Below are 24,755 nucleotides of genomic sequence, written 5' to 3'. Positions count from 1 at the left end.
TATGAAGAAACAAAGTCTAGGATATTTTAAAGATGAAAAAAAAAAGTACCACTTAAGTATTCTAAAACAGTGTCTGCACTCATTCCTATACCAAAATATTTTACCAAAAATATTTACCTTTATAACTCATAGTTTAGCCAAGGTGTGAACCGGGCATTTGAGGTCTGCTAATTCCTTTAGGTACCACTTAGCTCTACGGATTGTATGTAATGATTTATAAGCTTATTAGTCAATGCATCTGAAAGCTGAAACGTTCCTCCTGAAGTGTACAGGGTACCTCAGTCGCCCGACAGAGCCCAGACTTATCCATCACAAGACCGAGTTCGGGACTGTGCATAGTGTAAACATAAGTAGGCAATCAACAGACACTTGCTGGATTTTACTGAGTGAACTCAACTGAACTGCACTGAATTGAATTGAACTAAGGAGTTGGCAATTATCCATTTTTTAACTCCCAAATCACAGTTCAGGTCTTCTGACTTATTCGCGTAGAACCCAAGGTGCTGCCAAGTTCAAAAAGACCTTACCAAATGTTTTCTGGTGCTATTGTAATGACTTCCTTTTACCCTAAAGAGAGACACTTAGCTTTTGTCACAACTATATCTGGTTGGCCAATTGGCTATCAGCAAAATAAAAACTGAAAATGTGGCATCTGCCTTTCCTCCACGTTCCATGCCTGTAACACCCCTGTTTCAAGTCACTGCCAATCAAGTATGTAGATGAGATTTTATTCAACTCCTATCTGCATGCGACTCATTCCTAGGAACCCAGCATACTAAGTTAGAAAGACATAGAGACACTTTTCACTTTTCTTTGATGCCCCTCTCACAGCGATTCACAGTTAAGTCAGCTAATATATACTGGGCAGTCAGTCAACAAACACTGTGTGGAATCTATATAACAGCACCTCTGAAATAAAGGAATATATAGAGAAAAAGTTGTGGTAATTGTTCAGTAACTACAGTAACCCCAGTGGAGGTGTGGGGTGCATGTGTGTGTGTGTCCCCTTGTCCTTACATTCTGGTTCTCCTCATAGCTAGAGGCATAGGACTCACAGCCTAATGCCTGTCCAGGATCTGGAGCCAATCTCACCCTTAGTAAGAAGAAACTTAATGTGCTTCAGTTTAACACGTAAAGGATCCAGCATCAAGTCCCCTCCACGCGAGCGATCCAATCTGGTGTTTCACTTTGTAGTAAATGAGCTTCTGCCCTGCTCCTGAGACAAAGGGTCCTTATAACTGGAGTCCCCTTATTTGAATTTCTATTTTGATGGGCTGTCCAGGCTACTGCTTCCTCCAGGACTCAAAGTACTTCTCTAATATTAAATGCCAGACTTATCCGAAACAGAGAACTAAAGCCTGCCACATGGAGGGGCCACATGTAAGAACCTAATGAAATCACCACTGCGTCTAACCTAGGGGTGCCACTTGATCGTTATTGACCACGGCACAGAAGTAGAGCGCAGTCATTTGGAGCAGTGGTCCTCATAGTATGGTCCCCAGACCAGCAGCATCAACATCAGCAACTTCGCAAGTCATAGCCCAGAGCCACCGAATCAGAAACTTGGGGGAAGGGGGCCCAGCAATTTGTTTTAGCCGCCCTCCAGGTGATTCCGTGCTCACCGAAGGTTGAGAACCACTGGTTTAGCGCATGATATTGTGAGGAATGCCTGTGTTTTAATACCAGCTCCATTGCTTGTTACGGTAGTAGCCCCGGTAAGTGTGATTCTAACCTTTCTCAGCCTGGGATAACTCATCCATAAAGTGGAGATAAAAGGCACATCACAGTCTTAATACAAATGTGTCCTGTGGCCTCTGGCATACAGTGAGTGCTCAATTATGCTGTCTCCTCCTAGACTCTCCATTCATTGCCTTTTTCTGCTCTCTCCCATTACCTCTTGTTTGATTTTTTTTTTTTTTTTTTTTTTTTTTTTTTTAGATGGAGTCTCGCTCTGTCACCAGGCTGCAGTGCAGTGGTGCGATCTCGGCTCACTGCACCCTCCACCTCCCAGTTTCAAGTGATTCTCCTGCCTCAGCCTCCCAAGTAGCTGGGATTACAGGCACCCGCCACCACACCCAGCTAATTTGATTTTTTTTTTTATGTTAAAAACTACTTCTTACTTGTCTCCCTACTCTGCTCACACTTTCCTTCTCTTACTGAGTCAGAGTCTCCCTGTCCAGATCCTTATAGATTTTTCCCTTTTTTACACAGTTAACTCTTCTGTTCCTAATTCATAACATGATGATGGAAGCAATTGTATTTGATTATACATGTGATTCCAAGATTCTTTTATTATTAAACTTACGGCTTTTCATTGGTATATTGAGTGGGAGATTTATTTTATTTTATTCTATATATTTATTTTTTTATTTTGAGACAGAGTCTCGCTCTGTCACCTAGGTTGGAGGGCAGTGGTGCGATTTCAGCTCACTGCAACCTCCCACTCTCGCGTACAAGCAATTCTCCTGCCTCAGCCTCCCAAGTAGCTGGGATTACAGATGCCTGTCACCACACCTGGCTAATTTTTGTATTTTTAGTAGAGACGGGGTTTCACCATGTTGGCCAGGCTGGTCTTGAACTCCTGACCTCAGGCGATCCACCCGCCTCAGCCTCCCAAAGTGCTGAGTTTACAGGTGTGAACCACCGTGCCTGGTCAGGATTTGTTTCTTTTATATAATCCAACCCAACCTGGCTTGATTCAAAAGAAGTCATAGACAAATACAAAATCTCTTTTATTTAAAAATGATCAAAGTAAAAGACTTCCACCTCAATCTGAAATAATTTATAACATGTCAATGAAGAAGTGCACCATAATGATAATAATAGCTATTTTTTGCTTGTTTACCTGTGCCAGCCACTGTTGTTTTATTTAAGAATCACAACAACCTGTGAAGTAGATAGCTGCATTCCATTTTATAAAGAAAGAAACCAAGGAGCAGAGGATTTCAATAAGTAAATGAAAGTCTCACAGCTGTAAGTGGAAGACATCAGGACTGGCTGACTCTAAGGCCTGCATTCTTTTTTATACTGTCTCTAGAAATACTAGGCTTCCTCATGATAGTAAAACTGTATTTAGACAGCCTCATCCAGAAAGACAGGGGCAGCCTGGAAGGAAGCCAGAGATGAATGCAGGCGATGAAGGCAACAGAATAACTGACTTATGAGAAAGTAAGAAAACAGCATCACACAATGCACCCAGGTAACAAACCTGCACAGGTACCCCTGAGTCTCAAAGCTGAAATTCTTTTGTAAAAAGTGAGGAAAATTCAAATATGCTTCGGTTGAGAAAAAAAATGAAATATGACAACTGAAATGGAATGACAATTCTATTTTATACAACTGCTTATAGTATAAAATGGAATCATTATAATTATTAAAAATAACAATTTGGGGACAGTGAATTAGGTAGTTCTAAGACAAAACAATTTTAGGCAAGTTCTTCTCTTCCTCTAAACACCCCAAGATGATTTTACCTTGAAGAACTTCTGGATTTTAGCAATTTCAGAGCAGAGCGAAAAATTAACATCTGGGGCATTTCAGACCATTCAGCCAAAGGTGAAATAAAATAATTCCGCACAAACAGGAGGAGAAACTGAATGACCTCTTTGTCCTTGTCAAACTTTAATTTTTATGTTTTATAAATAAAACATTTTATTTTTAAAAAGCATATGCATTTATCCTTCAAGACTCCGGGTCTCTTGACTAAATAATGAATTTTCAACCTTTAACATTTCCATTTCTCTTTTAAAGGGCTCAGCATCTCCCCTATCAAAGTGCATAAGGAGAGCAACAATTAAAACATTTTAAACATAATATCTCAGCATTGAATATTCTTGGGCTAATTAGACTTATAAGACAGTATATTAATTTAGTACTTTCCTTTGGCATATTTAGCCCTGAGGGCCACATTTTACCCAAACTAATTTTTATTTTTTAATCCTCTATTAATCAGTACTCCCTAAAAGCATTTTGATTCTTAAAATTGACTCTTATATAATTTTGTGGTCATAAACACTGGTTGTGATAAAGTGTTGGACTTTTCTGGCCAAATCTCCTAATGGGTTAATTTCCTGAAAAAGCCAGGCTGTATAGGAGGCTCAATGTTACTCCTAAAATGCTTAGTATATCCATTTGTTTCAGAAGTGTCATATCAGGGACAAATCCATGTGTTAAGAATTGTCTGATAATATTGTTGAGGGATTAATCTCACAGACTAGATCATCAGCACGATTATCTTTGGCATTCTGTGTGCACACAGCTCCATTCTAAGCATGAAAAGCCCTCTAATGCCAAACTATGAGAGCCTATATATTGAATGATCTGCCACCATTCAATATTTAATCCTGCAATTGAAGCCACTAAAGGGATATAGCAAAGTAACAAGATGAATGAATCGTGACCTCAAACTTGCAAAAAGACAACCCAAACAATTTATCTTTCTGGCCTGTACGGCATTTTTTATCCAATATTCCTATCACTTCTGCTCAGTCTGGGAATTGTAGATTGATCAATGCCACATTAGCGAATACTTGAAATGAGAGCTGGGAATTTAGACAATCCATTGTTTATGCTTTAAGAATATTCTGGTTCAATTTAGTTTATCTGAAGGCTAAAATCAAGAACTCATAATTAAAAATCAATTTGATTCTCTAGACTACATTTTCAAGCAACTGTGGAAAGGATGGCATAAAATAATCAGTGTCTATGGAAAATAAAATACAGAAATGATTAAAACAAAAACTTAGAACTTTGTGCCTCAGAGCTTACATAGAACTCTTTGAAATTATACTGCTCTCAAATGCAGTAAAACCACATTTCAGTTATTAAGAGGATAAGTTCCACCCTGATTCATTGGTTAATTGCTTATTACCACATCACTTCAGCATGTAATCTTATTTTTTCACAAGATAAGTGGGGTCAATCTGATGTATACATGGTCATACTAATTCGTAACTTTTGCTTCTGTATGCGCATGTATTTCAATTGCGTAAGATCAGTTTTGCTTTCATAGGTGGGGGGCAGGAAGGAATAGGTAAATATGCTCTTTTCTTTTGCTTGTAAAGTCCCCATAATAAAAAAAAAATTCTCAGATTTCTTCCCTAGGGAAATAAATATAAGCATACATTAGGCAGCAAAAGAAACCAGTGGGTTGTTCCACGAGCAGTTAGAGACCAAGCACAGCCCTTGTAGATATCATAGATGCATTGGTGACCTTCTTAATAACTACTCTGTAGGTTTTGAAATAGCCCAACGGTGATGTTTATTTCATTCTGTTACTCAATTTTATTTTGAATCACCACGTGCTCCCCACAAACTCTTCTTCCCTAGGATTGTAACTCTGAGACTATAATTGTTCTCTGCCTTCATGCATGGTTTCTGGTCAGGGAATAAGAGCTCTAAATGACTGGTATGTCATAATATCAAGTTGGCCACATTTCAGTTGGTATCTGATATCCAATAGTTTCTCAATAGTTTTGAGAAATGGACGGAAACTGTTAATGCATATTAGAGGTATCATTATTATGATGAACATGCCAGCAATCCTCTGTGATAAAGTGTCATTGACTTCCTGCCAGCTCTCATGGATTGGTGACATTTTGTTAAGCAGTCTACTAAAAAAATCCATAACAGGATATTAGATGGTATTTAAAAATAATATCAATGCAAAGGATCACATAAAAGAAATCCTGTATCTTAAAAATGCTAAATCCGAAGTCCATTAGCTGTTTTGTCAATGTCTACTCTGTGTGATTTAATTATTGCATTTATTATGAAATTCTAAGATAAGAATTATGTTTTGGCAGCACATATATATTAAATAAATTAGGCTTGTGGAATGATTATTTCTATATTTTGATTATAAATTATTTGCAAATGTTTCTAGCCATCTCATTTTGATTTTCTAGTTTTCTATATGTTATTTCCCTCCTGCTGCTTATTTTATCTCTGTGTATGTATGTCTAAAGATGCGTATATTATGGCGGGTGAAAAGATACAGGACCATCCATCGCATTCTGCCTTTTGTTTTTTAACTACTATTAATCCATCAGTTTTTTATTTAAGCTACACAGGTCTCTTAGATGACAGGCCATATTGAACTAAACACTGTTTTTCCTAATGACTTGTCAACAAGTGCAGGAAAATAAGCAGGAACAGGATTCAGATGTAAAGATTTAAGTAAAATAATGTGTCATTTAAAAAGACGTTGTCTGTTAGTTATTTTTAATGGTGTGCTACACAGACGGTGATGGAAATGGATCTCATTAAGAGGAAACGCTCCGATAGCATCTTTTATCCCTCAAAGACAAACCGACATTTTCTTTACTTTCTTTCTCCATTGAGTCTTTAACTTCAGCCTACACAGATACTCACAAATCTCATCAATTGTTAGCAAAATAAATTTCTATCGTTATTCAGTTCTTATCTCTTCAATTTTGCACCCCCAATAGCTCTTCTCATTCACCATTAAACTTCATTAAAAAATAGCTCAGACAGCTTCTCCTAGTTTCTCAGTGCTTCCTCACTCACCGTTGCAACCTGAAGCCCCACATCCTCAAGAAATTAATTTCCCTCTTGATTTGTGTGGCGATGCCCTCTCTTTAGCCTGCCTCTATTTCTCTACTGTTCACACCTGCCTCCTTCTCTGTTTCCACCCCCGCCCCACGTGGAGGCATTCCCCTAGGTTTGGCGGCTTTGCCTGTCTCCCTTCCGCTCTCAGCGCTCCCCACATGGGCAATAACTCAGGGCTCCAAGGCCTCATCTCTCCTCCCCAGTCTGCATTTCTAATTCCCATCTCTCTCCTGAGTGCTGGCTGTGCTTTTCCAAAAATGCTGGTTATGGATTGGTGGCTGGACGTACCATGTAGCCAAACACATATTTCAAGTTACATGTAATTAAACCCATTAAAGTTACACTGGGGTGTGAGCTTACTTTTTATTACATCTTGCAGAAATGATGGCAAGCTGGGTGGTAAAGTGAAAGATGGTGAGTAAATCAACATTTGCTGTTTCACAGTTAAAGCGATTCAACAGATTTCGGTTTTCCCTCTCCCCGGTGATACCAGACGTGTTAATACCTCTTATTAATTACCTCAGCTCCGTACGGTAGAGCAGGTGGCTGCAGCAATGGAGAGCCGCTTAGAGGAAGAACGACCCTTCACTGTTCACATCCCACAGCCTTATATGAAAATGTGCCCTTTTCCCCATTTGAGATAAAAGAACATTATAGATAAAATAGCCATTCAATTTGGTATTATCAGTGACTTGAGAGTACTGGTAGTTGAATTATAAGTAAAGTTAACTAAAAATGGGGAAAAATCTAGTCAGATTCCATTCTCTGGAGCATCCCTTGTAAAATTAAGGAACAAAACATTTGAGCAATTTGTTCAGCCTATGCCTGAAACTGCTTTAAATGAAATATTATGCCATATTTTCTCAATTGTACTTCATAAGCATGTTTTTTTTTTGCCCATTTTGTAGAGGAAGAAGTCAACCATAAAAGGATAAGTTCAGAAACATAGAGCAAATCACTATGGCGTTAGTCAATAAACATTTTTAAGTACCAACTTTATGCAGGCCAGTGCCAATTGTTTCTTCCATGCAGGTAGTCTCCTAATCTATTATCTCTGCCATCTCTAAAAAGAGTAAATAGTCTATACAGTGCATTGGAATTGACCTTTGAATAAAAGATGCTACGAGCTGCATAATCATTAAATGCCATTACATTTATTGAATCTGCTCAGTTACTGAAAATGAATGTTGCTTTTTCATTGTGTGTTAGTCCAGGCAGTGAGGCAACATGGCTGCGTCCTCATTTCTAACAGCCGTGTGCCTGTGTTTGCAGGACGCTGGCCTCCTTAGAGCCAGGGCCAGTCATGGTTTTATTTAACTGTGTCTATTCAAGCCTCACAATGAGCGCTCAGTAACTTTGATGAAAAATTATATATAAGTGGAACAAGTCGTACTAGAATCCTGAGGACATCTGGGTTTGATTTTAACTTCTGAAATTTACCAGAGATGCAACTCTGGATAAATTAGTTAATTTATCTGGGCCTCAGCTTCCTAATCTGTAAAGGGAGACTCTTGCCCTCTTCTCAGTCATGGGCACGGATGGGCATAATCTACACAGGCGGATCAAATAATATGTATGAAAATGTTCTGTAAACTGAAGAACAGCTTACGAAGGCAGCTATTATTTTTAATATTACTCTAATATAAAAGTCTGTAAAGGTAATTTGTTTTCCATGCTAAAAATAGCTTACAAATGGCTGAGAACATCATTAAATAATTATATGCAATTAGGATAAGGACAAGAAACATGAGAAGAGGGATTGGTGCGCAGAATTAACAGCTATTCTATTAAATGAACAAGCATCTCCCATGTGCACGATTGTGTTGGGCTACACAGGGACATCCAGGATAACCCTGCCGTGGACATCATGCCATTTTGCTCCAGATTGGGCAAAAGTTAACAGTAATCATCATATCAAGTGGGACATGTAAGTATCATAAATGAGTCTGAGAAGGCAGAAGCAATATCCATTTTGAAGAGGATCAATAAGAGCCTTGTGGAAAAAAAGTCACTTTTGAGATGATCTATAAACTGACAAGGTGCTGAAGGGTGGAGAGATGGGGACGGCAGTGTGCCTCGGGCTGAAGGAACCGCAGAAACCAAGGCACTGCGGTAGGAGAGTGTCAGTAGTGCCACATCAGCACAGCACACAGACAATTCAGGAATGTCTCAAAACCTTCTGCAACCACATTTTACTGTCATTCCATGGCTAACGATCTTGTAGATCAGGGCACCTTGTTAGCAAACTCGAAACTGGTACTGCAATCCCACTTTACAAAGCTGACCATTTTCTGCTGCTTTCCAACCAGGTAAACCAACAAGAGCTCTCAGAGGAGTCCTTGGCAACAACAACCACCACAACAAAAAGGCCATAGCTCTTTTAAAGAATGTGATTCTGCTAAATTCTTCATATTTATAATGTTCTGTGACTCAACAGCATCACACAGATAAAGCCCAGAGGAAATGTTGCAGTTAATAAATTATTAAGCTGCTCTCCTTTAAAACACTGGGACTGGGCAGTACAAAGACTTGCCATGGTCTGTCAAATGCAAACGGATCTGTAAATCTCAAAAAGAAGAACTCTCTGAACTAAGGAACAGCTGGCTGTGCAGATCCCATGACCCACCCGGGATCCCCTTCCTGCAGCCTGTCACTCTTAAAAAGTTTAACGCTAATACAGTCAATGAAACAGAAAACCAAACTGAGGGAGGTGGGCTATGTGCACCCTCAAAAGATCTATCTTACACTTGCTAAAATGACCTTTAAAGAGTCATCTACTGGGCCGGGCGCGGTGGCTCACGCCTGTAATCCCAGCACTTTGAGAGGCTGAGGCGGGCGGATCACGAGGTCAGGAGACGGAGACCATCCTGGCCAACATGGTGAAACCCTGTCTCTACTAAAAATACAAAAAATTAGCCGGGAGTGGTGGCGGGCGCCTGTAGTCCCAGCTACTCGGGAGGCTGAGGCAGGAGAATGGCGCGAACCCGGGAGGCGGAGCTTGCAGTGAGCCGAGATCGCGCCACTGCACTCCAGCCTGGGCGACAGAGCGAGACTCCGTCTCAAAAAAAAAAAAGAGTCATCTACTGCAGTGCAGCTTTGCAACTACAGTCTTGTGCCTACACAGAAATAACCTAATTCGTATTGGTGCCTTCTCTACGATATGGTGCATAGTTAAACAAATTTCCACTTTGTCATATTCCCTGTTAGATAGTTAAATTTCAGATTTCTTTGTGCCACATACGCTGACCTAAAATGGCTAATTTTTAAAGTAATTATATGTAATTTTTTTTTCTGGCAGGTAAAATGGTTTCGGAATTACTTTAGCTCTGTTTTAAAGTCTAATCTCTATGGCCTGGGCATAGTTCTTTTTTTTTTTTTTTTCCATCTACCAAACCCAAATTGGCTTATTTTGCTGAAATGGCTACAACAGAGGGCTGGCTTTGATAAGTTGTATCAATGTGTACTTTCTGAGCAGAGAGTTTGTAGGGCAGGTGGAAAGGGCAGCTGGTGGGAGGGATCAGATTAGTGGAAACACAAAACTGTACTTTCAGCTACACCTCCCTCCCTTCCCTACCCAACACGGGCAACTATCCTTACCATCAGGATGAAAAGTTGGAAAACATCCCAGTTTCATTTTAAACAAGAAAAGAGATTTGACATATTAATGATGTGGGATGTATTGAGAACAGCATCTTCCTTCCTTCTTCATATATAACTTCAGACATTTCTATAGGGATGTTGCAATATAATTTATGTTTGAAATTTCAGTTATGAAAGGGACTAGATTTAATAACACTGACTAGAAGCTGGCAGTGCAAAGGAAGGTCTAGAAGCCACCTCTGCCTAGAACATCACCTCCATCTGTCTTGGTGCTGGCTATCAGTCTGCTCTTGTTGCAGAGCCAACAACTTTTGGTCATAGATTGCGAACATTTTCAAAATGATTCTGGTGTTTGTGACACAGATAAAGGCTTCTGAAAAATTGGGGTGGCCAGAGAGTTTCACATTCAATTTCCTTTATGATCTAAATTTGAGATTCAAAAGCATGATAATACACAAAAGCAATAGCAAATTTCCAGTTAATCTTCTACCAAATGTTCTAGAAAAAGAATTACATTGAAAACAGTGTTTCTAAGGTAGTAGGATGGATGTAGATGTTTGAAAAGCCAGCAGAGCATTTTTGACTTGGTGAGAGAACAAGGAAAAGTTGCTGCATAGCCTCCTGCAAAGTACTTTTAACCCGTTTAAACCTCAAATCCATACCTATTAAATGTGGTTAGTACTCAAGCACAATTCACAAGACTGTTTTGGAGAATTAAACAAAATAAGGATTCAAAAGATGTAACACAGCTTAGTGCGTAGAAACTGTTGAAGAAGTGGGTGTACATTAAATGTTTATTATATTATTATTTTTGTTATCATCATCATCGGACTGTTTTTTAGAAAAACAACATAATAGAAGCAGGCTGAAGAAGTCTTGATGAGGCCAGGCAGAGGACTGAGAGGGACTGCTACGTCAAGGAGACCAGGTGGGAAGTAGTTCCTGGTTTCCAGAGAAGTGGCGATGGAACTTTGAACTAGAGTGGAAGCAGCTGGGAATGAAGGGGAAGAGGCAGCTACAGAGAAAAGAAAGAGCAACCCCAGATGCCCAGATGGTTGAAAATACCCTAATTCGCAAGGTTTAATTCCTCATAATTTGCGAAAGTGCGAGTCTCCATTGGGGCATGCAGATACATGCTTACACGTTTGCTTAACCATGGAGAGAAAAAAAAATTCCAAAGCAAGACTGAATGGCTGGTTTCGTTTGTTGGTTTTTTTTTTTTTTTTTGCAATTATCACCCCTTAGAAACCAGAGTCCTATTGTGTCCGGAATTGGTGGGTTCTTGGTCTCACTGACTTCAAGAATGAAGCTGCGGACCCTCACAGTGAGTGTTACAGCTCTTAAGGTGGCGCGTCTGGAGTCTGTCCCTTCTGATGTTCGGATGTGTTCGGAGTTTTTTCCTTCTGGTGGGTTCGTGGTCTCGCTGGCTCAGGAGTGAAGCTGCAGACCTTCGCGGTGAGTGTTACAGCTCTTAAGGCAGCGCGTCTGGAGTTGTTCTTTCCTCCCGGTGGGCTCGTGGACTCCCTGGGCTCAGGAGTGAAACTGCAGATCTTCGTGGCGAGTGTTACAGCTCATAAAAGCAGCGTGGACCCAAACAATGAGCAGTAGCAAAATTTAGTGTGGAAGGGGACCCAAGCGTGTTGCCACTGCTGGCTCCGGCAGCCTTCTTTTATTCTCTTATGTGGCCCCACCCACATCCTGCTGATTGGTAGAGCCGAGTGGCCTATTTTGTCAGGGCGCTGATTGGTGCGTTTACAATCCCTGAGCTAGATACAAAAGTTCTCCACCTCCCCATCCGATTAGTTAGATACAGAGTTTGGACACACAGGTTCTCCAAGGACACACAGGTTCTCCAAGGCCCCACCAGAGCAGCTAGATACAGAGTGTCGATTGGTGCACTCACAAAGCTTGAGCTAAACACAGGGTGCTGACTGGTGTGTTTACAAACCTTGAGCTAGATACAGATTGCCGATTGGTGTATTTACAATCCCTGAGGTAGACATAAAGGTTCTCCACGTCCCCACCAGAGCAGCTAGATACAGGGTGTCGGTTGGTGCATTCACAAACCTTGAGCTAAACACAGGGTGCTGATTGGTGTGTTTACAATCCCTGAGCTAGATATAAAGACTCTCCACGTCCCTACCAGACTCAGGAGGCCAGCTGGCTTCACCCAGTGGATCCCGCACAGGGGCTGCAGGTGGAGCTGCCTGCCAGCCCCGCGCCATGTGCTCGCACTCCTCAGCCCTTGGGCGGTCGATGGGACTGGGCGCCGTGGAACAGGGGGCGGCATTCGTCGGGGAGGCTCGGGCTGCACAGGAACCCACGGAGGCGGGGGAAGGCTCAGGCATGGCGGGCTTCAGTCCGGAGGCCTGCCCCGCGGGAAGGCAGCTAAGGCCCGGCGAGAAATCGAGAGCAGCGCCGGTGGGCTGGCACTGCTGGGGGACCCAGTACACCCTCTGCAGCCGCTGGCCTGGGTGCTAAGCCCCTCACTGCCCCGGCCGGCCGGCAGCTCCGAGTGCGGGGCCCGCCAAGCCCACGCCCACCCGGAACTACAGCTGGCCCGCAAGCGCTGCGCGCAGCCCCAGTTCCTGCTCGCGCCTCTCCCTCCACACCTCCCTGCAAGCTGAGGGAGCGGGCTCCAGCCTTGGTCAACCCAGAAAGGGGCTCCCACAGTGCAGTGGCAGGCCGAAGGGCTCCTCAAGTGCCGCCAAAGTGGGAACCCAGGCAGAGGAGGCGCCGAGAGCAAGCGAGGGTTCTGAGGACTGCCAGCACGCTGTCACCTCTCACTATTTTATATATCATTCTTTCTTTTCAAAACACAAACACTTCAGCAGTGCTATAAGGTAAAACTTCTTGTCCCTTCTGTGTTAACAATACCCAGACATTTTGTGAGAATCCCTTTTGTGGGAATCTATTCTTGTGATAAGTTGTTTGCTATTCACAATTATGAGGGTTCCAAATCAGACTGGGCTATGTTTACTGAAATTTTTAAACAAAAGGCACAAAGATACTTTTGCGAATTCTAATTGAGTGCATGATTGATTTTCTCCAAATAGAAACTTGTGATCAGTCTTCACTTCCTCTTTCTTACGTTCTAAGTCAAACAGTGAGATTTTGCTGCTTATCACATAAAAAAGCAATGCTAATTTATAATATTCTTGGGAGGGTTTTCATTTTTAAAAGGTAGATATTACTTTTCCTAGGTATAAAATCAGAAATGACACAATTTTTAAAATGTAGTTTGGATATCAGTTTAGTTACCTTATAAGAATGCCATTAAAAATAATAATAATATGAAAAATAGCAATGTATTCTTCCAAGAAAAATAGCTGTATCTCATATGATAATTTAAAACACATCTGTCATCTACCAGTAGTTTTAAGAAATTCTCAATTTATATCAGCTTCTTGTTGAAATAATTTATCTTAGAGGCAAAGAAAAGGACAAATTCATTAAAATATGAAATTTTTTTGTTTCATTTCCCATTTAGTTTACTTTCATTCATTTAAAAAATAACTTTTAACAAAGCCTCTATCAAATATTGCAATGGATTATTGCTGAATAGAGTAATAGTAATTTCTTATCTTTAGAAGATGCACTGGCTGGGCGCGGTGGCTCACGCCTATAATCCCAGCACTTTGGGAGGCCGAGGCAGGTGGATCACCTGAGGTTAGAGGTTCGAGACCAGCCTGGCCAGCTTGGCGAAATCCTGTCTCTACTAAAAATACAAAAATTATCCGGGCTTGGTTGTGGGTGCCTATAATCCCAGCTACACAGGAGGCTGAGACAGGAGAATCGCTTGAATCTGGGAGGCAGAGGTTGCAGTGAGTGGAGATCGTGCCTCTGCACTCCAGTGTGAGTGACAGAGCGAGACGCCGTCTCAAAAAAAAAAAAAAAAAAAAGACGCACAATAAAACTTCCTTTTCCCAGATTTACCTCTTAAGATTCCCTGCTGGTACAATTCTACATTCTCAACTCAACATTCTTGTCATTTAATGTTTGGATGAATTCGGAGTTTAATCTGGACAAGCAGAAGGATTTTTCTTTCCAGGATGCCTGATGATGTGTTTGTACTTACAACAATGCTGGGGGACACCGTCATCTACGTAAAAATGAGGCTGAAGCCGCAGAGCAGTTTACTGCACTGATGAAGAAGCTCTTCTTTTTCAGGCTGCTGATGGGTCTTTTCAGTTCCCCAGCACTGAGGCCAGACTGCTAACTCTGTCAGTAGAAAATCTGTAAAACTGTTTTTTAGGAGATGGGGCTTATTCAGCTTCCAGACTTAATACTCGTTTTAAACACTGTAGCCAAATACGGAGGGAGGTTGAAAAGAAATGTGGAATGTGGGCAAGAGGGAATAAAGGGGGACAAAAAAAGAGGAGACTCATGAAAGGAGTCTGAAAAAAAGAAGAGTAATTAGAGGAGGGAGCAAGCAGGAAATCGCAGAGACAAGGGAAGGCTGCAGTGTGGAGGCTCAAGTTGCAGGAAGAGGCTAAGTTGTATTTCTGGAGAACAGTGAATAGCTACTCTCTTCTCATCTATTATGTTGCTGGCACTACAGCAAAGGAAACACAAATATTTCAATATCGGTGGTGTTTTTGAAAGTCAATGGAAAGGAACCAAAGTACCACATTTATTCCACTTATTTTCCAGCTTGTTCAAGGGCTACTTTAGTACAAATGATTTTGGGGGCACTAAGTATAACAAATGCATTTCTTTGTTTATACTCTTTGTTTGTAAACATACATAATAAAACTCCTCAGTGACACCTACCTGCGTCTACTCTGTAATTTTCTTTCAAAGTAATGGTACTAAATGAAGAACCATTTATATTTTCAAGAAAAAAAAAAAAACTGAACCACAGCAGACATTTTCAAAGAAAGCTTTGCCAATTTTTCTGGGTATAAACACATGAACTCCTTTGCTTTATAATTTTGGCTCTGAATAAAATGTCACATGTGAGTAGTATATGTTTTTTCATTTGAAAAAGTCGGCTTCACAGGGTGAGTGTGAAAGATCTGAGCATCATTATTGAGTCACGTCCAAGGGCTTTTCTCACGTCCCTTCCCTACACACTATCCGTATTCTTGAAACCTGAAGGCCTGACTTCCTAGGCCCAATGAGCATGGGAGAGGGAAGTGCCCAAAACAAAACTGACCGAAGCGGGGAGAGCCTGGCATGAGCTCAAGAATATACACTGTGCATGCACAGAAATACGGTCCTGCCTCTGGCAGAGCCATACTTAGCTGAATTTGATGTATCCATTCTTAGGGTAGAACCGCTGCTTGTTGAAGGTGAGTTGGTTGTAAGTGTGCAGCCTTATTTCTGGGTTTCCTCCTCTGTTCCATTGGTCTATGTGTCTGTTTTTGTAACAGTACCATGCTGCTTTGGTTACTGTAGCCTTGAAGCATAGTCTGAAATTGGGTAATGTGATGCATCTGGCTTTGTTCTTTCTGCTTAGGGAGCTAAGCATTGGGTACACACAGACATAAAGATGGAAACAATAAGACACCGAGGATTCCAAAATGGGGGGAGGGAGGGATGGAAGACAGGCATGGAAAAACTATCTATTGGGTATTATATTCACTATTTGGGTGACAGGATCAATAGAAGCCCAAACCTTAATACCATGCAATGTACCCATGTAACAAACCTGCACCTGTACCCCTGAGTCTCCAATTTAAAAAAATAAATAAAAATATGTTTTTTAAAACAACTGCTGCTTGTCACACTGACAAAGACTCTCTCCTTGACTCCACTTGAGTCAGGCCCCTCCAAGTGCTCTGTTTGACTAGGCCTCCACCTTCTTCACCCTTCCCCTTGCTGGGCCCACATAGCCCAGATTTAGCAAGACTCTCGCTAAATCAGTTTAGAGAGAACCCCCACATCTTCCATATCTGGTCAAATTCCTCATCTCCCAACTTGATGTATAAGTCCTTGGCCTACCATCAGCAAGAATCCTGTTAAGTGAGTTTAGCAAGAATCTCCCTACCCTGATGTCTTTTCTTAGTAATTTTCCATCCACCACCCCGACTCCACACCTGTTCTTTGGCTGTAAATCCCCACTCGTTCCATAATTGAGGTTGAGCCTGATGTCTCTCCCCTATTGCAACAGAATTGACACCAGTTGCAACAATTCTGAATAGTCTTCCTTAACGTTTTAGCAAGCGCCAGAATGAATTTTTCCTTAGCAACACCAACGAGTAGGTGGTCCCAGCTCATGGATTCCTCATATGGAACTAAAACTGTAAGAACCGTAGCAAGGGTGATCAGCCTGAACATCATGGGTCGAGGAACCACCAGAGTCTGGCATCAGGTACCCTGAAAAGGATGAGCTCACCTGCCACCATTTTATATGTGTGATAAACATAATGAGTTCCTGAAAAGAGGTTTTTAAAGATCACAGGAATTTGGGGCCTATGGCTTCGACCTCTGCCTGCCTTTCAATGTGCAGAGTGGATCTGGCTGAAGGATCAAGCTGCTATCATGGACACTGTGGTGTGGAATCTGGGAGGCAGCCTGGGCACCCCGGACCTGATGCCTAGAGAGAAGACAGCAGCAGGAGTTAGCTCTACCATGATAAGTTTAAAAAACAAATACAATGAAGGAAGAAAAAAGTCCTGGGGCAAAGGCTATTTAGCCCATGGTTCTCTAAACATTTCCTGGAAAAGTCCTTCAACTGCAGTGTGAATGAGAGAGGCGGGGAGAGGTTGGCTGGGAATGATATTGCTCATTTGAGCTATTTTGGATGTGAGATATGCAACAAAATGCCTGGGTATAACTTGAAAATATAAAAAAAAAAAACAAGAAATGGTGCAAAAATATCAATCAAAGTTGATGCAATGAATCAGCCATCTAGTTTAATGTGATTAAAATCAAGAGAAATTACTGACACATAGTTTGAGAATTAGCCCCTTTTTTCTTCTTATAAATAATGAAGAAAATAGTCCAAGCAAAACAGAGCCAATTCAGATTTCATTATATATCTACTTGCATCTCAATATGATCTTATCTTTAGCGATAACATCCTTTGGCTCTCTTCATAGCCATAGATAGTCAACCAAATCCACATATTTACAAACTACCATATAATTCCCTCTTTAATACATTCTATCAGAGCATCGTCCTAGGTTTCTCTACTGTCACTACTCCAAAAGCAAAATGCATATTCTAATTCTAGCAATGTCAGCAATACTCACTCAAGACCTCTACTCCCTAGCACAAAATGAGGACCACATGAACAAGACGATTTCTTCCCTTTGGATAAATAACATCAGCTCTTCATTAAGAAAACAACAGCTATAGGCCCGGTGTGGTGGCTCACGCCTGTAATCCCAGCACTTTGGGAGGCCGATGCGGGCAGATCACCTGAGGTCGGGAGTTCGAGACCAGCCTGACCAACATGTAGAAACACTGTTTCTACTAAAAATACACAATTAGCCGGGCGTGGTGGTGCAGGCCCGTAATCCCAGCTACTTGGGAGGCTGAGGCAGGAGAATCACTTGAACGCTGGAGGCGGATGTTGCAGTGAGCCGAGATCGAGATCACACCATTGCACTCCAGCCTGGGCAACAAGAGCAAAACTCCGGAGGGGAGGGGAGGGGAGAAGAGGGGAGGGGAGGGGAGGAAAAGAAAAGAACAGCTATAGAACCCATTGTGGAGTTGCCTACCTCTATTCAAATCTCAGGCCCTAGGGGGAAAATGTCTACTGCTCTTATTTTTCTCCAAAATCATTATTTTTTCTTTAATGATTACTGATCTTCTCTTCATCCCAGTATCGAAACCATCTTAACATCCTGAGTCTTTTTTTCCCTGCATCCCATGGTCCCTCCTCCTTACATGTTGACAGAGATATAACTAACTGGAGTGGTCAGGGAGCTAGGGAGACACACTAGGGATCAATTTATCTTTGGCATGGGAATTGACTAATAGGTGTTTTCCGTCTCTAATTTCTGTGACTTCCCCCTGTCGGGGGATCCCCAGACCAATTCTTTCCTGGCTATCAAAAGCACCTGCTCTCACTCCTCAGCTCAGCCCTGGTCGGGACTCTCACAGCTGTCTGATCTCGTTCCTGGTCAGAGCACACCCCTCCCTCAGGGGTACGGAGAGACTCAAGCACTAGAAGACTGCCCGTCAGCGTCAGCCCTGTGCTAGCACAGAGGAAATAAGAGCGGGTGACCATCCCATAAGCCAGACCACCCTTGCATCAGCTTTCTCCATGCGCTGGTGCCAAACAAGAGGAGGTTTCATATGAGGTCAGGAAGGCAAAGAGGGTATGTGGTAGAGACTTTCAAGAAGATTTTACTAAATTCTTCTGGGACCTTAGCCAAAGCCTGGGTTAACCTTGGTTGCGTCACTGGTAAACTAATCACACCCTTGCTGAAATGGGAAAGCAAGATGTGGCCTTCGTTAAATTCCGGGAAACTGGTAAGTTTTGTGAGCAGCATACATTCTCACAGTTGGGAGGCATTTTAAATAACAATTTTGAATCCTTTCCCCTCTATTGTTGGTTTTTATGTGTAGTTCAAGGTGCTTGGCAGGGTATTACCAAAACTGATCAATATCATCAGTAGCACATGTGTATGCTATAAGCCAGCATAATTTATATATAGCAGGGCACATATAAGTGCATTATACTTCATATATTAATTCAATCCAAATGCACAAATATTTATTGCATGCTTACGCAATGCCAGGCACTGCACTAGCTGCTGGAAGTTAAACAGGAGGCGAAGTGGACATGGTGCCTGTCCACATGGAGTTTCTGGTCTCATGTCAGTCTTTCACACAACTCCTCCATTTATCTCACTTTACTCTAGCTGAAGCTTAACTAGCTCTTAGGGGAATGGCTGCACTAGTTCTTTTTTGTTTTTGTTTTTGCTTTTTGTTTTTTGAGATGGAGTTTCACTCTCGTTGCCCAGGCTGGAGTGCAGTGGCACAATCTCGGCTCACTGCAACCTCTGCCTCCCGGGTTCAAGTGATTCTCATGCCTCAGCCTCGAGAGTAGCCGGGATTACAGGCACCTGCCACCAGGCCCGCCTAATTTTTTTGTATTTTTAGTAGAGACAGGGTTTCGTCATGTTGTCCAGGCTGGTCTCGAACTCCTGACCTCAGGTGATCCGCCCGCCTTGGCCTCCCAAAGTGCTGGGATTACAGGGGTGAGCCACTGCGCCCATCCTGCACTAGTCTTTTGTTGTTGTTGTTGTTGTTGAAATAGCTAGCCTGCCTTGTGTACTAATGTACACCAAGAGGTCTGGTAAATACTTGATCAATAAAGTTATCTCTGCTCAATAACCCTGTGAAGTAGATTCTCTCATTTAACCCCCTTGATTGACGAGGAAATGGAAATACCAAGAGATGCAGAAAACTGTCTAAGGCCCCAGAGCTAGTGAGCGGTGGACCTGGAACATGGGGCCAGACGGCCTGGCTCAGGGCTGGACTCTGCCATCATACTCGCAGGCTGTACAAATGTCTTACAGATCTCTCCTTCATGCAGCCTCCCTTCCTTAATGGTACATCCACACCCTCAGATTAAAAAGAGTTTTAAAAGTGTATCTCTGTTCAAGTCATTCTCCTCCTCAGACATCTTCAGTGACTCTTCACTAGTTACTGCATTATATACAATGTCTCAGACGAGCATGAAAAGCCCCGTTCAGTCTTTAACCTACCTTTACAATTTTCTAGTAACACACTATGGGTGGGATACACTGTGGGGACTTGGACTGCTCACTTTCCCCTCAAAACAGTCCCTTTTCCCTGCCCCATTTTTATGCTCTTCCTGTTTCTTGCAATACCCTTTTTTCTTTCTTAGACGGAGTCTCGCTCTATTGCCCAGGCTGGAGTGCAGTGGCAGAATCTCGGCTCACTGCAACCTCCACTCCCCGGGTTCAAGTGATTCTCCTGCCTCAGCCTCCCGAGTAGCTGGGATTACAGGAGCCCACTACCACGCCCGGCTAATTTTTGTATTTCTTTTAGGACAGACGGGGTTTCACCATGTTGGACAGGCTGATCCGCCCGCCCCGGCCTCCCAAAGTGCTGGGATTACAGGCGTGAGCCACCAAGCCTGGCCCTTGCAACACGCTTCTAGTCTCCAGACTGGTGCCATCTCCTCGAGTTTTTATGAAAGTCCAAATCCGATGCTCGATCTTCCCGCTTAGAACTACCCAATGCCTGTGCATACTGGCCACGGTACGCACCTTCTGCCACGTACCCAGTTATTTGTAGAGTCTCAAGGGAAACGGTTTTAGAATGTGGAGCTGAGCTCTGAAGTTAGACTGGCCTGAGTTCAGTTCTAGCTCTCTGAATTTTTAGCTCCAGGTTCTTAGGCAAGTTGGATCATGTCTCTCCCTGTTCAAAACCCTTTCATGGCTTCCTATTGCAATTTTGGGAGAAAAAACACTTCTGCAATCCAAAATAATCTTTTAAAAATTCAAAATCTTTTCAAATCCAAACTCTGCAAAACCCGACTTTCCTCTGCAACCTTATTTCATGAGTTATGCCACTGTCCTCCGTGACCGCTGGGTGACCCTTCCGAGGCCTGTTTTCAGTTTCTCCAGCGCTCCCATTAGCTCTTGCACTCCTGGGGTCTTTGCGATGCTTTCCTTCCATCTGGAATCTCTCCTGCTATGTTATCTAACTTGTTCGTTCTGTCCCCTCAAGTCTCAGCTTTAAACCTGTCACTTTTTCAGAGATGACTTCCCTGGCCACCTGGTCCAAAGAAGTCTCCCTCTCCTACATTCTGAATACCCCCTCTCACAGAAGCCAGCTCCATTCTTTGTATGCAGTGTGCGTACATATTTTTGTGGTTCACTTGTGCGAGGTCTGTCTTTCCCTCTAGACTTGTAAGCTCCCATAAGGACAGGGAACCTGTCTGTTTGGTTCATCACCATATCCCCAGTCGTCTGCACAACAGCACATGCAGATGCTCAAGAAAGACAAAGGGATAAATCTCTCTGTATGTTGGTTTCCTTATTTATAAAATAGGAATCACACTTACCCGAGCTCACTGCCTTTAAGAAGCCGAGAACAAAATCTGCACAGACTGGGAGTGCTCAGTGAAAGGGAGCAGCTACTCCCAATCCCACTTCCACTTCCAAACTGCAGTCCTTGCAAGCGAACTGCCTTCCCTCCGTATCCTCCACATGACCTAGCACAGTGAGCATCGTGGACATCCATCAATGTCTGCTTGAACTGAAGTGAGCATGCCATCCGAAATCGCAGTTTTTCATTCTACCACATTTGCTCTATTTCACTCACCTACAGAGATTTGCTTCTCTATGATCACACAATAAGACATTCACTCAAACTTTGCTGTTGTGATATACTAAGAGAGTACCCACAGAGTCTAGGATAACGTGCTAGCATCACCAGGCTCTCTTGCTTTCCCATAATGTGAATAATTCTCTTTGGGAAACTGTATTCCTAATGAAAATTTAAAAATCATATAAACAATATCATGATCTATATACATGATTTGTTTTACATATATGACTTTATATATAGTGTATCAGAAACAAGCAATGACAATATCTGGATTAAGGAATAATTGTGGAGCCGGGCGTGGTGGCTCATGCCTATAATCCCAGCACTTTGGGAGGCCAAGGCGGGTGGATCACCTGAGGTCAGGAGTTCAAGACCAGTCTGGGCAACATGGTGAAACCTCATCTCTACTAAAAATACAAAAATTAGCCTGGCCTAGTGGTGGATGCCTATAATACCAGCTATTCGCAAGGCTGAGGCACGAGAATCGCTTGAACCCAGGAGGTGGAGGTTGCAGTGAGCCGAGATTGAGCTACTGCATTCCAGCCTGGGTGACAGAGCAAGACTCTGTCTCAAAATAAATAAATAAATGAATAAATAAATACAAAATGTGGCTTTATGTGCCTATACGCAGAATCAAAATTTGATTGTTGAACAAAGAGAGTTTGAAAAGTTTTGCAAATTAGGTCAAGTGTAGGATTCCTGAATCAGAACACAGTTGTTTTAATTTTACTATATGGGTCATTAGCAAGCTGTCTGGGAAATAGAGGAGGTACTAAACTAAAAATGTGTTGTCGGTTAGCTGACCATTTAACTTAATGACCAAACCAAGACATGTTTAAGAGTGGAAGGAGACAGTGCGGACGGATTACACTGGGACAACAGACATAAACCTGGAGTATTCCGGGGTTGCTATTTTGTGTTCTGAATTTGTGAAAAGCTTGATTCTGACTACACAGTGCCAACAAAAACAAAGATTTTTGTATTTTTCAATCAATCTGCCTGTGTCTAGCATTTTCAATTGTTATTGTCTTCACTTATTTTTGATAATACACTTTTAGAACATTATTCAGCATAATGTAATATCAAGATAACATCTGATTCAACCCAGGTAAAACTCACAGGAAAAAAAAAGTAATTTGACCAGAAACAACCCCAATTCAGGGAAAAAAAAAAAATGGGTCCAATGGCCATCGCTCTGGTTTCTGTACACTGACTCCGGTTCAGCCACCTCCCTCCTCTGCCACGTTGCTGCTCCAATGCTTGGTGACACCCAACATGACTGTCTTTATCTTCTACCCAAACAAATCTTAGCTGATGTCTAAATCTGTATTTTCACAACATGTTGGCTCATTACATTTATTGCATTTTAAATGATATTTAAACTTGAGGTAAATAATTTAAAAAGAAAATATCAAGGGCTTGGAATGAATATCTTTAAATATAATGCAGTCAGGTAGATATTTTTGCAATGCTAGATGACATTAATGTGGTGGCACTGAGTAACTGTCGACAATTAGTCACAAGATGGAGCAGAGGTCTTGGAAGAAAATTACTCCCAGGTGACAAAATATTGAAAATTCAATTATACTCTGTTTATTATGGGCTTACATTAGCAACTATATTACTAATGAAGACCTGGATAATAAACAAATTAATGGGAACACAGGGGAGAACTGTTAGAATTATTTTTTCCCCTTACAGTATTCTACAATATTGATTCCAAAAGCGTGCCAAATGACAGCGCAAATGTTGCTGAAGCAATTCTTAACATAAATTATGTGTATAAGAACATATGACGAATTCGAGTACTCAAGATTAGGAAAATAATTTTAATACATAATGACAAGATGCAATAAATTTAATGTTTAAAATTTCCAGTTATGCAAGTGTATAAATCATTTAGGAAAGGAAATCTAGTGAATGCAAATAAGAAGAAACTATCATAAGGGGTGCACAAATGGTCTGAATTCTAATTAAAACACTATGTCATGGAAGTCAGTGCATTCATTATCCCTTTTACAAATGTTGTTTTAAAAAGCACCCACAACATGCGGTTCCCAGCCGGGCGCGGTGGCTCACACTTGTAACCCCAGCACTTTGGGAGGCTGAGGCAGGTGGATCACCTGAGGTCAGGAGTTTGAGACCAGCCTGGCCAACATGGTGAAATCTCATCTCTACCAAAAATACAAAAAAATTAGCCAGGTGTGGTGGCCTGTGCCTGTAATCCCAGCTGCCCAGGAGGCGGAGGCAGGAGAACTGCTAGAACCTGGGAGGTGTAGGCTGCAGTGAGCCGAGACTGCGCCACTGCACTCCAGCCTGAGCAACAGAGTAAGACTCTGTCTCAAAAATAAAAAAATAAAAATAAAAACCATCCACAACACGCAACTCCTTAAAAAATATTTTTACAAAAGGTCAGAGAATACAAATACCTGTTTTTCCACTAGGAAAATAAAAACCTTTCTCTGCCTAAGACTAAGTTTCTCTCTGAATTCCTCCCAGCATTTTGTGACATTGTGCCTAGTTCCATGGACATTTCGTTCATTCCGCTGTTGAAAACATTTAACCAGGCATCTATTTGGGGTGTGGCTTTATTGCTACACAATCCAAGGAATGGACTTAGAAGCCTAATTCCCCTTTTCTTGATACTTATGATCTAGTATAGGAAAATAAGACAGGTAAACAGATAACTTCAAAATAAGGTAGTAAATGCTAAATGTCATGAAGCATTAGAGAGAGTAAACATCTGGGAAATTTAGAGGCTGGACAGCTCACTGCCCTTTGTTATTAGGATGACTAAAAGGAAGAGATACTTAAGTTGAGCCTTGAAAGATTGGAAGGATTTTGATCTGCAAAGAGTGGCTAAGAGGGTATTGCAGATTGTTGGTGGTATGATCAAAGGCAGAGAGGCAAGAAAACTCATGGTTTATTCACAATATGGCAAATAATAAAGAAGACTCCATTACAATGTCTTCACAGGAATTGCAAGGAAAGAATGGAAAAATAAGATTATTTGGTGTTTAGATAACGGGGAAGATAAGCTTAGAGAATTTAAGTTTTCCTGAGAAGGTTGATGCAACTTCTGTCCTGTCTTCACTGGTGCAAAGACGTTTTATGAAGCCAAGATCAAGAGAATTGGGGGAAAAATTTTCTAGATGTAAGAAAAGGACAAAAGACAGGAAGAAATTTGAAGAAGTAATATATACACCTCCTATATACTCAGGACTAAAAAAAGTTTTGAAATAAATCGTTTGAATTGGATGGAAGTACATGGCAATGGAAAGATATCATGTAGGGAAGAAAGACAAGGCTAATGAACTTGAAAT

General features: G+C 41.8%; 1 protein-coding gene across 24 annotated transcripts in view; it reads right to left on the bottom strand.

Annotated features, from left to right (window-relative positions):
• Positions 1–24,755, bottom strand: part of TENM3 (teneurin transmembrane protein 3) — a 1,355,412-nt gene that overhangs the window by 403,690 nt on the left and 926,967 nt on the right. The gene's annotated exons all lie outside the window — the stretch shown is intronic.

This window comes from Homo sapiens, chromosome 4 (assembly GCF_000001405.40).
Source record: "Homo sapiens chromosome 4, GRCh38.p14 Primary Assembly".
In the NCBI taxonomy this organism is placed as follows: domain Eukaryota; kingdom Metazoa; phylum Chordata; class Mammalia; order Primates; family Hominidae; genus Homo; species Homo sapiens.
Note: the sequence above shows the minus strand (reverse complement) of the source record. Positions and strands in the feature narration are given on the sequence as shown.